Source organism: Homo sapiens, chromosome 6 (genome assembly GCF_000001405.40).
Source record: "Homo sapiens chromosome 6, GRCh38.p14 Primary Assembly".
In the NCBI taxonomy this organism is placed as follows: Eukaryota; Metazoa; Chordata; class Mammalia; order Primates; family Hominidae; genus Homo; species Homo sapiens.
In genome coordinates this window covers 144,156,455-144,171,802 of record NC_000006.12, presented here as the reverse complement: position 1 = coordinate 144,171,802, position 15,348 = coordinate 144,156,455, and the positions used below count along the sequence as shown (strand labels likewise).

General features: G+C 39.9%; 1 protein-coding gene across 10 annotated transcripts in view; it reads right to left on the bottom strand.

Moving 5' to 3' along the window:
- The window catches only part of STX11 (syntaxin 11), a 51,977-nt gene that overhangs the window by 20,137 nt on the left and 16,492 nt on the right, over positions 1-15,348 (bottom strand). For 5 of the 10 annotated variants that reach the window (XM_047419439.1, XM_047419440.1, XM_047419437.1 and 2 more), the window contains one exon: positions 3,127-3,263. The exons of the other annotated variants lie outside the window; for them this stretch is intronic. The gene's annotated coding sequence lies outside the window, so the exon portion shown is untranslated. The remainder of the gene's footprint in view (positions 1-3,126; positions 3,264-15,348) is intronic. 10 annotated transcript variants of the gene reach the window in all.

Genomic DNA, 15,348 nt, shown 5'->3' with positions numbered 1-15,348 from the left:
ACATGTCTGAAGACAGCGCTTCTTTTTTGTTTGTTTGTTTTTTGAAGACTGTGGTCATACTTACGGTGAGGAGAAAAAAAAAAGATGCTAAAAAAAAGATTATCTCACACACACACAGCTTCCACACAAAGACTCTGCAAAAGCTGTTCGATAATACAGTGTGCTAAATAGGAGTCCTTGAGCAGTGGGGTCAGGAAAGTAGAGAGATACTTGGCAGTTTTAACCTTGGCTGAGTTTCAGTCTGATAAGAGGTTTTGAGAACTTGAAGAGCCAGTTTTTAAATGGAAGTGGATAGTTTGAAGTGTATCACAAGTCTATCATTCAGCTCACCAAAATAAACAGTATGTAGGCACAGTGCAACTTCCCAAAAAACACAACTCCACTGCCACATCCCAAAGTTTCCTTCATCATCAAAGACTGGACCAGAGAAGTTTCCTGATGCCATGCTAAAAAGAGCAAAAATTAGTGGGATGTGAACTAGGTTTCTAAGGAATTTCAGAAGCTTATTATGGCCTTACTGACCCCCTTCAAAATGTTAATGGCAATCAGGACACTTCTTTTCAGAGCTGTAGAATCAGTTTAGAACTCCACATCTACTCAGGGACGTATAGGAGGGGGGCTAAGTGTTCAAGCCTGGGGAATTATGTGGAGACATATCCAGATCTCAGCTCTCCCGCTACTGGGTCTTGCCTGGGTTTCCTCACTGGTTTCAGGGTTCTCAGCAGTTAGGGCAATTCTGAACAGATGAGTGCAATTCTTAATCGAAGAGTGCTTTTCAAGCCTCTGCTATGTTCTGTATTGTTGTAGGCCATCTTCTCTATACCTGGTCTTCTCCATGTATAAATAATTACCTCATAGGATAGTAGAGGGGATTAAATGAGGTAAGCCATGTAAAGCTCTTAAGACTAGCACCTGGCAGAGAGTGAGCACTTTGTATATGTTACCTATGGTCATGTATTCCTGTGATTTAAATTCCCTCAAATAACTAATGTAGATTCAGTAACTATTTGTATAAATGATGCCATTTGTTAATTACACTACTAACAGTTTATTTTCTGTCTCATCTATGATCATAAGTGAACACTAATACCTGTGCATTACTCAATTACTTGAGGTTTTAAATATCTTTCTTCCAACTATTTTATTGTAAAATATCTCCTTCTGATTATGAAAGCAACCCATGCTCTTTGTAAAATATAATAATAATAATACAGATTGAGCATTCCTAATCTGAAAATCTGAAATCTGAAATGCTCCAAAATCTAAAACTTTTTGAGCATTGGCCACAAGGGGACTATTCCACACTTGACCTCCTGTGACAAGTCGCAGTCAAAACACAAGTACATAACACACAATTTACTCAGTGTCCCCAAGGCAAAAAAGACCCTCCCATCCCCCTTCAGCTGCAATACATCTTTTCTGCACATGTCCAGATTCCCCTTCCCACGCACACACACAGACAAAAGGTAATAAAATGGCATGTGTGCAGCAGGCTGGATGCACCAATAGCAGATTCTCCACCATGCTCCACATAGCACCAAGAACTTCAGGTATTAATCACTATGACTCTTTGCTTATACTCTGCTCTGACATTTTTGAAAATTTCAAAAAGGCCTGCAGATACTTCTATGAGTAACAGTGACAAGAAAAAGGGGAAGCGTTTATGTTTATCTGTAGCAAAGAAAATCAAGCTATTGGAGAAACCAGACAGAAAAATATGGTGTTGGAATGACCACCTTATATGACCTGAAGAAACAAAAAGATAAATTGTTGAAGTTCCATCCTGAAAATGATGAACAGAAGTTAAGTTAAAAAATAGTAAACACTCCATGCATGGTGGCTCACACCTGTAATCTCAGTGTGTTGGGAGGCCAAGGCAGGAGGATCACTTGAGCCCAGGAGTTCAATACTAGCAACATAGTGAGACTATGGCTCTACAAAAAACAAACAAAAGCCAGGTGTGGTGGTGTGTGCCTGTAGTCCTAGCTACTCAAGAGGATGAGGTCAGAGTATCACTTGAGCCCAGGAGTTTGAGGCTGCAGTGAGCTATGATTGTGCCACTGCACTCCAGCCTGGGTGACAGAGCAAGACCTCATAGGTAGGAAGGAAAGAAAGAAGGAAGGAAGGAAGGAAGGAAGGGAGGGAGGGAGGGAAAAGAAAAGGAGAGAAAAAAGGAAGGGGAGGAGGGAGGAAAACACTGTATAAAGCTAGAAATGAAGATCTTGATCATGTATTGAAAGGGTGGATCCATCAGCCTTACACTGAACACATGCCATTTAATGGTATGCTGGCCATAAACATGCTAGATCTATCACAGTGAACTGAAAATTGAAGGAAACTGTAAATAATCAAAAGGCTGGTTACGGAAATTTTAGAAAAGACACAGCATCAAATTTTCAAAGATGTGTGGTGATGAAGCATCTGCTGATCACAAAGCAGCAGAGAAATTAATTGATGAATTTGCCAAGGTCATTGCTGATGAAAATTTGACTCCACAACAAGTTTGCAATGCTGATAAAACATCACCGTTTTGGTGTTATTGCCCCGGAAAGACACTGACTAGAGCTGAGACAGCCTCTACAGGAATTAAGGATGCCAAGGACAGAACAACTGTGCAGGGATGTGCTGATGCAGCAGGCATGCATAAGTGTAATCTGGCTATGACAGGCAAAAGCTTGTGTCTTTGCTGTTTCCAAGGAGTGAATTTCTTACCAATCCATTATGCTAATAAAAAGGCTTAGATCACCAGGGGTGTCTTTTCTGATTAGTTTCATAAGCACTTGGTACCAGGAGCTTGTGTTCACTGCAGGGAAGTTGCACTGGATGACAGTTGCAAGAATTTGTTATTCCTTCACATCTGTCCTGCTCATCCTCCAGTGGAAATTCTCATCAAAAATAATGTTTATGCCACGTACTTTCCCTAAAATGTGACTACTCTACTTCACCCATGTGACAAGGTATCCTTAGATCAATGAGGATTAAATAATGCTTTCTTAAACAGCATGCTAGCAGCAGTGAAGAGAGGCATAAGTGTAGAAGATTTTCAAAAGGAGTTTAGCATGAGGGATGCCATATATGCTGTTGCCAATGTTTAGAACACATGACTAAAGATACAGTTGTGCATACCTGGCACAAGCTCTGGTGGGTTCAGTGATGATGATGAACAACGTGGTGACTTTGAAGGATTCCGTATATCAGATGAGAGAAAAAATGATGTATGACCTCCTTACATATGCAAAAAATATACCTTCAGAGTCAGTAAGCTGGAAGACATCAATGAAGTTTTTTTTAACATCAACAAAGAGGCTACAGTTCTTCATTCATTGACTGCTGATGAAAAAGCTGAAATGGTTGTCAATGAAAATGATTGTGATAATAGTGACAAGGAAGATACCATTAACACTGCAGAAAAAGTGCCTATAGATGACATAGTGGATGTGTGATGAGCTTATTGAAGGACTAGAGCAGCGTGCATGTATAACAGAATAAGAAATGATGTCAGTTTATAAAATCAAAGAGACTTCTAAGACAAACACCATTGTTAATGAGGCAGATGACTCTGGAGGAAATATTTGAAAAGGCCATCCAGCAGAATGCCTCCTCATCCTCAGAGGACCCACTTTCTGGTCCCTCAACTATTACTGATGTTTCTTCTCACCTACAAAAAATACAGTGTACAGTAACTTTTTAATCAGAATACATAATTTGCACATACAGACTGAAAGCCTGCCATTGTTGTTGCTGTTAACAGTGGGTATAGGTATTTGGTGATGCTACTGGGCTTAGTTGCCCTGAACACATTATTTTTTTCACTGTATTAATGGTATGTTATTTTTTTTACCATAAGTACTTATGTGTGAATAAGTCTAAGAACATGACTGTAGTGAGGCATGGTGGTTCACACCTGTAATCCTAGCACTTTGGGAGGCTTAGGCAGGCAGGCTGTTTGAGTCAAGGAGTTCAAGACCAGCCATGGATAACATGGTGAAACCCCACCTCTACAACAAACTACAATAATTAGCCGAGAGCAGTGGTGTACACCTGTATTCCCAGCTGCTTGGGAGGCTGAGATGGGATGATCACCTGAGCCCAGGAGGTTAAGGCTTCAGTGAGCTGTGATCGTGCCACTGCACTTTAACCTGAGCAACAGAGCAAGATCTTGTCTCAAAAAAAGAAAATAAAAAAGAAATGAAAAAAAGGAGAAGTGATTGCTTATCAGCAGCATGTAAATTCAGAGTCAGGAATGATGGTGATACCAAGCAAGCACAGATTGTCCACGTGGGTGCCTGAGATAGTGACACCTTTGTTTTCTGATGGTTCAATGTACATAAACTTTGTCATGCACAATATTATTAAAAACATTGTATACAATTATCTTCAGGCTATGTGTATAGGTATATATGAAACATAAATTTCGTGTTTAGATTTGGGTCTTATCCCCAAGATATCTCATGATGTATATGCAAATATTCCAAAATCCAAAAAAATCTGAAATCCAAAACACTTCTAGTACCAAGCATTTCAGATAAGAAATACTCAACTTGTAATAATAAATCAAATAAGACAGAATTGTTTAACATGAAAAGTAACAATTTTCCATCATCTAATACAACTATATATACTAATTCTATAAAATAACCAATGATAAAATATAATACATATTCTTCCAGATTCTTTTCTATACCAGAAGGTTGCCAACACTTAAGAGACAGTGTTCAGAAGAACCAATCCTGTTACTGTGAAATTTAGTTTGTTTCCCTGGAAAACTACAGGAGCTCTCTGGGGTTTCTTCTTCCCAGGGGCATCCCTCAGAGATGCAGGGCCACAGGGCAAGTCACACTGTACTTTCCATCAACAAAATTTTTGTGCAGGTGAAGTCAGGTAAAAAGAAAGAAAGAGAGAGGTAGACAAAAGGAAGGGAAGGGAAGGAGAGGGGAGGGGAGGGGAGGGAAGGGAAGGGGGAAAGGGGGAAGGTGGGGCCAGGCACTGTGGCTCATGGCTGTAATCCCAGCACTTTGGGAGGCCAAGGCGGGCGGATCACATCAGGTCAGGAGTTTGAGACCAGCCTGGCCAACGTGGTGAAATCCCGGGTCTACTAAAAATACAAAAATTAGCAGGGTGTGGTGGCACATGCCTGTAGTCCCAGCTACTTGGGAGGCTGAGGCAGAAGAATTGCTTGAACCTGGGAGGCAGAGGTTGCAGTGGGCTGAGATCACACCACTGCACTCCAGCTGGGCCGCAGAGTGAGACTCTTTCTCAAAAAAAAAAAAAAAAAAAGGAAAGAAAAGAAAAGAAACAGAAAGAAAGGAAGACTGAGGGAAACTTGCAAAAGAAAAGGAAATTTTAGAATGCAAGAAAATCCTCATGTGTGCTTTCATGTTTAAGAACCTCAAGGTGGTTACCCCAATTCCACACGTCCCAGAGATTGTGAAAATCTTGAAGCATCTAAGCCAATCTGAGGACTGATGTCTTTAAGACTTAATGTTTATAAAATTAGTGGCTAGGTTTTCTTTTGGGAACAAATTAACAATTTTAATGCATTACATATACGTTGAACATCTCTTCTTCATAAGTGTCTCAGAAAGGTAAGCTGTATTCCCCTCACCCCCACCACCAATTAATAAGGTTTCATTGTTAGTGGTGGTAGATTGTGTTAGGTTTTTCAGTTAGATTCAAGAACACGCAGTGAAAAGATCTTGTTCTTCATCTAACAGACAGAAGCCTTAAAAGTACTATTTCCAAACAAGAAGCAAAGGGTAGATACTCCTACGGCTGCTAATATCATTTGAAAAGCAAATGCCATGTAGGAGAAAGGGTACTTGGCCTGGTAAGCGAGGGCTTATTCCCATTTCCATCTCTAGCTGCGAGAAGTTGAGCAAGACAATTAACATCTGTCATTTCCTCATCTGTAAAATGGTAATAACTCTACTTACCTCACAAAGGTTACTTTTTGATTGTTAAGTTACGTAAGTTATGTACATGAGAGCACTTTGTTAACTTTAAAGTATTTTACAAACACAGTCTTAGGAGTTAGTATTTTGAACTACTACCATCCATAATCAGTTAATTTATCAGGTAGCTTATTGAAGATACTATAAGTACCACTCCTTTGGAAGCATGTGCAGATGATACGATCTAAAATGATTCTATAAAACCAAAGAATGATTCTATTATTAGTTTTTATATTACTCCTATAACTCAAGTTACAGCATATTAATGCTCTATTCAGCTCAAACTTCAGGAAGACAAGAGTTAGGTGCTTTGTACTCACTATATAAAAGGAGCTAAGAAAACAAACTCACTTATTGTAAAGAAAATTTTTCTTTTTTGTTTTTCTTTTTTTTTTTGAGACAGAGTTTCGTTCTTGTTGCCCAGGCTGGAGTGCAATGGCGCGATCTCTGCTCACCGCAACCTCCGCCTCCCGGGTTCAAGCAATTCTCCTGCCTCAGTCTCCCGAGTAGCTGGGATTACAGACATGCACCACCACGCCCCGCTAATTTTGTATTTTTTAGTAGAGACGGGGTTTCTCCATGTTGGTCAGGTTGGTCTCAAACTCCCAACCTCAGGTGATCTGCCCGCCTCAGCCTCCCAAAGTGCTGGGATTACAGGCGTGAGCCACCGCGCCCGGCCAAGAAAATTTTTCTTCAAAGTGAATATATTGCATTACACCTGTCAAAGAAGACAAATAACCAATATCTCCCTGCAAAACAAAACCAACTAAAAAGTAGTCGTAGATCAAATTTCTTACACATTTACCCCAATTGAAACTGTTCCATGTAGCAACTGTGCTCTTTTTAAGCTATATAGGCTGGGCATGGTGGTTCACACCTGTAATCCCAGCACTTTGGGAGGCCGAGGCAGGCGGATCACCTGAGGTCAGGAGTTTGAGACTAGCCTGGCCAACATGGTGAAACCGCAACTCTACTAAAAATAAAAAAAAAATTACCCAGGCATAGTGGCAGGTGCCTGTAATCCCAGCTACTTGGGATGCTGAAGCAGGAGAATCACTTGTACCCATGAGATGGAGGTTGCAGTGAGCCGAGATTGTGCCACTGCACTCCAGCCTAGGCAATAAGAGCAAAACTCTGTCTCAAAAAATGAAAAATAAAATAAAATAAAGCTATATAGAATCAACATCTACAGGTATTGAAAAAAATCTTAAACATCTTTTAATACCAACAGAATTTTAATTTTCCCTCATATGTGAGCTTCTAATTTGGATAAAAGAGATGCTGCATGTTTGCAGTGATACTGGTAATGTTTATCATGGGAATCAGTAGATATCTTTTTATATGTCCAAAACTGCAGAAAATTCTGTAGCTAAAGAATAATGTAATTTGTTCTCTTGTGAATAGACTATCAGTATCCATGCAGAATCATTCCCAGAAATCATGAAATGCATACAATTTTAAGTACCGTTAACTTTCACTTTTACTTATGTTGAGTATTCTTTATCATTTGATTTTAACATAATATTAAAATACCTCAATTCTATTAGCTAAAATATACACAACAGCATAGAAATAATGGCATCCATTAGCTTTATTTTATTTTTATAAACCAAGTTGGGAAGGCTTTTAACGAGATTTTAAGTAATATTCACAAGGCAGACTATGTGATTGATATTCTTATCCACATCTTTCAGGACACATGTTTGCACAGGCTACTCTGACAGGGACTTTCATGTGTTTATTCAACAAGTATTTATTGAGTATTTATGTGCCAGGCATGATATGATGAGGTCAGCTTGGTGAGCAAAACATAGGTGGTCCCAGTCCTTTTAAAGTATATTTTCTAGATAAGCAAAAAACAAAACTAACAAAAAAACTTAACATAAACCTTTTTATGAGAGAGAGAGAGACAAGGTCTTGCTCTGTTACCCAGGCTTGAGTGCAGTGGCACAATCATAGCTTTCTGCAGCCTCCATCCACTGGGCTCAAGCAATCCTCCCACCTCAGCCTCCTGGGTACTGGGACTACAAGCCATGTGCCACCACCCAGCTAATTTTTAAATTTTGGGGCCAGGCACAGTGGCTCACACCTGTAATACCAGCACTTTGGGAGGCTGAGGAGGGTGCATCACCTGAGGTCAGGAGTTCAAGACCAGCCTGGCCAACATGGAGAAACCCTGTCTCTACTAAGAAAAAAAATACAAAAATTAGCCAGGTGTGGTGGCAGGTGCCTGTTATCTCAGCTACTTGGGAGGCAGAGGCAGGGAGAATCACTTGAGCCCAGGAAGCAGAGGTTGCAGTGAGCTGAGATTGCGCCACTGCACTCCAGCCTGGATGACAGAGTAAGACTCTGTCTCAAAAAACAAAAATTAAAAAAAAAATTTTAAAAATAAAAAATTTTGTAGAGATGGTGTCTCACCATGGGCTAAGTTTTAAAATTTTTGTAGAGATGGGGTCTCGCTATGCTGCCTAAGATAGTCTCAAACTCATGGGCTCAAGCAATCCTCCTGCCTTGGCCTCCCAAAGTGCTGGAATTACAGGCATAAGCCATGACGCCTAGCCCATAAAGCATTTTTAAAAAAATAAATTAAAATGTTATAAATTTGACAGAAGGTAAGACTGATGAGATATTTTAAATGTAGACACAGTTGAAACCAAAACTGACTTACGCAACTTCCCCATTATCGACTATCTGACAGAGGTTCACAACACATTTAAAGACGGAACTATGAAGATCGTGGGAGAAATTCATCTTCAGTTTTCTATGTATTTACAATGAATTTATTAATTTCAATCACTGGTTTCAACTACGACACAAAGAATAGCTTAGTGTTTAAATAAGGATGCAGAATCGAATAAGCCTGTATGGGACTCCTAGCACTGAGCAAACTAGAATAAGACAATGAACCTCAAAAGGTATTTACACACAGTGAATGAATTCCCAACAAATGCAGGTATTTTCTTAGATAATACTTATGTTGTCACTCATGTTGGTAAACATACACACTTTCTATGAATATCAACAAGAAGATTTATAAATGATAGTTGAGTAATTTTTTACTTACTGCTCTTAGCCTGTCTTGGCCTACACAAACTCCACCATGGCAAACCACCTTATCCTGCCTTTCTTCTGGAGATGCCCTCCAACCAGAGATGTCCCTCAACCTTTCCCATCCCCTATCCAAATTCAAATTTGTCCATCAAAACATCCCATGCCTATGATCCATCCTCTATGTTTTAGGGCAGTAAACAACTGTTCTGATGAATGTATCTGCTTGTAAGTGCTAATAGCTTAATATACTGCTCCATCAAGAAAGCATATTTGCATTTTTGAAGACGCCTTCCACATTCTGGATAAAATAGCAAATTGAACATTACTTTTGCTCCCTTCCAAAACTCCACTAAAGGAACTTTCTAAAGGCATAAGCCAACTAGGATAAAGAATAAGAGAGAAGAAAACAGCAACACAATGTTGGAAATTATGAAGCAAATGGATAAATGATAATTGGTCTAGTAGATTTAAGAAAGTTAAATCCTCAGTGAACAATGGAGAAGTCCAAGAAGCAACCGAAGTTACACCATCAAATAAATTTCTAAAGACTCAGAACTCATAATAAAAGGCCGAGTATCTACGGGAAAGGGCGTGATGGTGGGGTAATAACAAGTTGGGTTTGGTCAGAAGCTTTTTAAAGAAGTGGGAGGGCCCTCCATCCTCTGTTCCACCCTGGCAGAAGAGTAGACAGATGACAGATTAGACTCTGAACAGGGTAAAAGAGAATCTAGAGTGCGGTAGAGGTAGCCAACTGAAAAGAGGAGGATTCAGTGAATATTTTTACATGGAATGTTGCACCTTCAAACCCTCCTCCTTCACCTACTTACCAGCACACTGAGCTATATCTTACAGGCAGAAAAATAGAAGATCTTTTTCTATAAAGAGAAAGAAAGAAAAAAGAGTTGAAAAAATAACAGAGTAAAGATAAGGAGCTTAGAGGTCCAGCCCCTTACATTCAAATTCCAAATAATAGGAATTTCAGAGAGAAAACATCCTACGAATGAAAATATGTATTGTGTTTGTGCTGCTGTTAACAGTGGTGGGTGCACGTATCTAGATGTCAACAGAAATACAAACTATCCATAGCACTTGAAGTTCCAGCAAAAGGCAGTTAATAACTTAAGAAATTTTCCGGCCGGGTGCGGTGGCTCATGCCTATAATCCCAGCACTTCGGGAGGCTGAGGTGGGTGGATCACCTGAGGTCAGGAGTTTGAGACCAGCCTGATCAACATGGTGAAAGCTCGTCTCTACTAAAAATACAAAAATTAGCTGGACGTGGTGGCGGGCGCCTGTAATCCTAGCTACTAGGGAGGCTGAGGCATGAGAATTGCTTGAACCTGGGAGGCGGGGGTTGCAGTGAGCTGAGATCATGCCACTGCACTCCAGCGTGGGCGACAGTGAGACTTTGTCTCAAAGGAGAAAAAAAGAAAATTTCCAATTAAAGAATCCAAAAATATGCTGACTAAACAGGATTTTCCTCCACTAACTGTTAATGTTTTCAGATGAAGTGACACTATTATAATTTTGATTCCTTAAGGAATACGTTTCATCCTCTAACGAGTTTACTTTCAAAAAGAGAAAATACTCCATTCTGCCATCATTGCTTCTTATTTAAAAATTCAAATTCTTCATGAAAATATAATAAATGGAGCTCATTTACAGTTAATTAAGTATTCAACTGGATTTACCGTGGCTAAAATCATTACCTACACTTCAGCAATGAACCAAGTTCAACCTATACAAAATGAAAAGTGCAAGAACAGATGTCTAGAATTATTTCTTTACCATTCATATGCTCCTTTTATATAATATTTATGGTAAAAGCAAGACAAAAAATGAGAACATGAATCAAGTTATACTTGAGATAAACCAAGGAATATGCCAAAGGGGGTGAGGAAAGATATGAAAATACATGGCAAATGGTCGTCATCACAGGACCTCACACATCCATTCACTTGAAGTCATACTTCAAGCCTGAGTTAAATGTTCACTTGCACTATAATTTATAGTTCCAGTTTTTTTGGTGTCTTTGTGGTCAAGATGCTGAATGGTGTGGATATGTTTATCCACTTGAATGGGACACAGCAGAGGATTACATAACTCCACCTACATCTAGTAAGTGCTGCTTTATGGTGAATTAATCCCTCCCTCCCTGCAATCAGCCAAATGTTTGGTATTCTTAGTACTTAATGTAGAGGTTCATAGGTTAAATATGCACATGTTAGCACTTGGCCTATTTGCTTTGTGATGTCAGGTTAAACAAGAAATAGGTTCTTACTAGAGAACGAATCTGGTACTTTTTCAACCCAAGATTTGCCTGTTAACTTATATATTAAACTTAAGGTCCTTTATCTATTGAATATAATAAATGTAAATAAATTGCAGCAGAAGAGCTGCAAAGCTTCAAAAGTTAAAAATCAGGAAGTCTCAAACCTTACCCTAAGCTTACAATTTATGGGGAGAAATAAGGAGGTACAAAAATAATTTTTAAAAAGGCCAGGCACAGTGGCTCACTCCTGTAATCCCAGCACTTTGGTAGGCTGAGGCAGGCGGTTCACCTGAGGTCAGGAGTTCGAGACCAGCCTGGCCAAATATAGTGAAACCCCGTCTCTACTAAAAAAATACAAAAATTAGCTGGGTGTGGTGGTGCACACCTGTAGTCCTAGCTACTTAGGAAGCTGAGGCAGGAGAATCACTTGAACCCGGGAGGCGGAGGTTACTGTGAGCAGAGATTGTGCCATTTCATTCCAGCCTGGGCGACAGAGTCTCTCAAAAATCATAATATTTTTTTAAAAAACAAGAACTGGCCAGAAAAGGAGAAAAAGGACCCAGCATGAGCCACCAAGCTGGGTGGAGGTTGCAAATTGCAACACTGGGGTTGTGGCCTCTTCACCCAGGGCATCAAAAGTGACCTGGAAAGATGAGAAACCTCAGTGGGCATGGACTTCTGGGGCAATGCACTTCACCCACTGTCTCCAACAAGACCCAAAAGCAAATCTGTCAAGCACCCTCCTAGGCCGTAGTAATCAGATCCTTGAGATTAATTTTTAAAAGGCTGTGATGTAAGTTCATGATTTTCAGAGCTTTACATTTATTTTCTTCCACTGTATATTACATATTAAAATATTAACAAAGTAACTTCTAGTAATGGTGCATTGAATGAGACACACAGAAACTTCCCTCTCCGTTCCTTGTTACCTATTTTACCTCATTAAATGAAGGCGTCATTTTCCTGTACTGTCTTTTTCCACATACTGGACGGACACACACACACACACACACAGAGTCAATTTTGAACTAGCTCAACCAAAAGATCTTCCTTTGTTAAAAAGTAGTCTCTTGTAACCAAAGCCAAATCCGTAACTTCTATTTTGATATAACTTATATTTCAGGAAAATGAGACACTTCCTCTGACCTTAGACTAGGCTGGGTTTCCAGCTCTATAATTTCACTTCGCTTTTTCTGGTACTCACCATATTTTATTGGTAGTTGTTTGATAACATATTCAATTGTTACTTATCTTCTCTGCTTGCCCATAAGCTTCATAGGGTCAGGAGCTGTACCTGTTGTGTCTGCACCATTTACTCCAGAGCACCCGGCATATAGGAAAGCCTCGATAAATAGTTGTTGAATAAATACGCTCACCAGAATCGTTATTTTTTTCACTCATTTTTGATGAGGCTAGGTCTCTCATACACAAAAATGAAAAAGACTGTTCTTGCTCTTACAGGCTGTTAGAGAGAATAATGATAATAAATGCCATAATAGAGGGATCTATGGGAATACTTTGAGAAGTCAGTCTGGCCACAGGGCAGGGAAGGTGGTGTCTGAGCTGATCCTAAAAGGTTTAAAAGGAGTTAGCTTGGTAGGGAGAAGGGAAAGGGACCCAGGCACAGACAACTTCAGCAAAGGCATGAAGCCTGGAAAGTGTAAGAAACACAGCAATTTGGTGTTTCAGGAGTAAAAATTGGTAGGCTTAAAAGTGCTTTTCCCTTTGAAGAAAAAATCATTGCCAATGTCAGTGAATCAGATAATATACCATCCTACATTTATGAATGCTTAACATTCTCCTGTAAGTTATCTCTGATCTCATTAGACAATTATTAAAGTTTTAAGAAAGCACCTCAAAGCTTCCTCTGGCATAAGATATCCTAAAACCTTCTTATTCTCCTAGAAATCCATCCTACATTTATGAATGCTTAACATTATCCTGTAAGTTATCTCTGATCTTATTAGACAATTATTAAAGTTTAAAAAAAAGCACCTCAAAGCTTCCTCTGGCATAAGATATCCTGAAACCTTCTTATTCTCCTAGAAAGTTTACTGATTCCTCTAAGTTCACTGATTCCCATCCCCCATCTGCAACTATTCAAAAAATTTGGCATCTCTCACTCTGCTATCTAAGATAGTATAAGGCCAAGCCAGGGACACCACTCTCCCTCTTGCAATCTTGGTCAGAAGCCAGCAAAGGAATTTGGGCTGTGCTGTCTGTTGGCCACATCAAGAATTTAAATGAAAAGCAAGGGATGACTCTCACTATACCAGGCCTGCTGGGACTAAGGCTCCGGTGCTCCTCTGCTGTCCCACGGTTCCCATGACTTCTGGATAATCTGAAAAAATCTCAATAGAGTTGGTCACCACGAAAGGCATAAGAGTTTAGGGTGAAGGTTCTCAAACTATAGCATGTATCAAAATCTTCTGGGGAAAATGTGTTGAAAATGTCAATTCATGGGTTCCACCCCTGGATTCTATTCCAGTGGATCTAGAATGGGGCCCTGGACTTTTATTTCTCTTTTCTTTTTTTTTTGTTTTTCCCCTGTTTTTTTTTTGTACTGAAATATCTTTGGTAATTCTGAAGGTTATAATCTACAGACTACACACTGGACTGGTTTGAGGACTTTCAAGGGCTTGAAAGAGAGAGCGAGAGAGAGAGCGGGGGGAACCCTAATATCACAAAATTGTTCAACATTTAACAATGTTAAAGCCTAGCATTACAGCAAGGACTGGTGTGTGTTATGCTTTTGTTCTGGGTCTGGATAGCCACAGCTGTTTGGGTGGCTGAGTTTAGCCACTCTGGGTGCCAGAGTTTAGCCTTCTTTGTTAAACACCACTACTGCCCTCACCACGGCCTACTCTCCCTGGCTCTTCTGCTCCTAATCTTCTTAGGATTAAGACTACTTTGTCTTCTTGCTCTCTGGTCAACTATTCTAAAATCCTTAAGGGCCTTGGAAAAAAATGACAACTTTCTGGGCTCCACTCTGCAAGGTGATGGTCTGGGCCATCAGACACAAACAAGGCTGTTGCAGAGGAGAATGCTCTCTTGGCTACAAATGTAGTAAATGATGTGGTATCCAGATCCCCTTCTGGACCAAGATCCTCAGTCCCCCAGGTACTAGGAAGGTTGGCTGCTGAAGGCTCCCAGTTCCAGAAATTGCCCTGGACTGAAGGGAGCTGCTGCCTGCATCCAATGATTAGTTGATGTAGGTACAAATGCTGAGCCTCTTGCCTCAGGAGGCAGAACAATTCTGAACAACAATCCCAGCTTCCAAGCTCCTCCCTGTTGAGGCCGCTGTTGTGCATGCCCCACAGTTCAGTCTCTCCCCCTGTGCAATCCCGTTTCCCTCTCTCCTACTGTGTATTGTGCCCAGAGCACTTCCCAATAAAAACCTCCTGTATGGAAATCTCAGAGTCTCAGGGTCTGTTTCCTGGCAACTTGACCTGAGACACTGAACTTGCGCCTTTCAGTCAAGTCCTGACAGCATCATGTAGCAGGCCTCTGCATTTAACTTCTTGGGCAATCTTGGGTGGTCACTTAATCTCTCCAGGTGTTTCCCACCTTATCTATAAAATGTGGATAATGGCAACAGCAACAATGAATCCTTATTTTTCCATTCTTTCTGGCTGTTATGAGAATTAACAGAAATAATATATATGACAGTACTTCATAAACAATAAACAGCTAAATAATATTATCAGCTGAATATCATTATATGTTGGTTTACCATGCAGTAGTCAAGGAAGAGGGGAGGAGGAGGTGGGAAATGTTGTATTATTACAGAATTTAGCTAATACACTATGTCCTACTTATCTCAAATCAACAGATTTGGGTCACTAATCAACATAACAAAGAACATAATAGAAAATTAGAAATATAACCGTGAAAAGAGATTGCTGCAATCCTGAAACTGAAACCGAAGACAGAACTACTTGCTTACTGTTTCCATAGGAAGATAAAAACAGAGCTATTTCACTATTCTGAAAAGCTGAAATTGACCTTATTACACAATAAGTTATGCAAGGAGTAATGGAATATCTCTTTGCAACTTTGAACAGGGAAACAAGTAA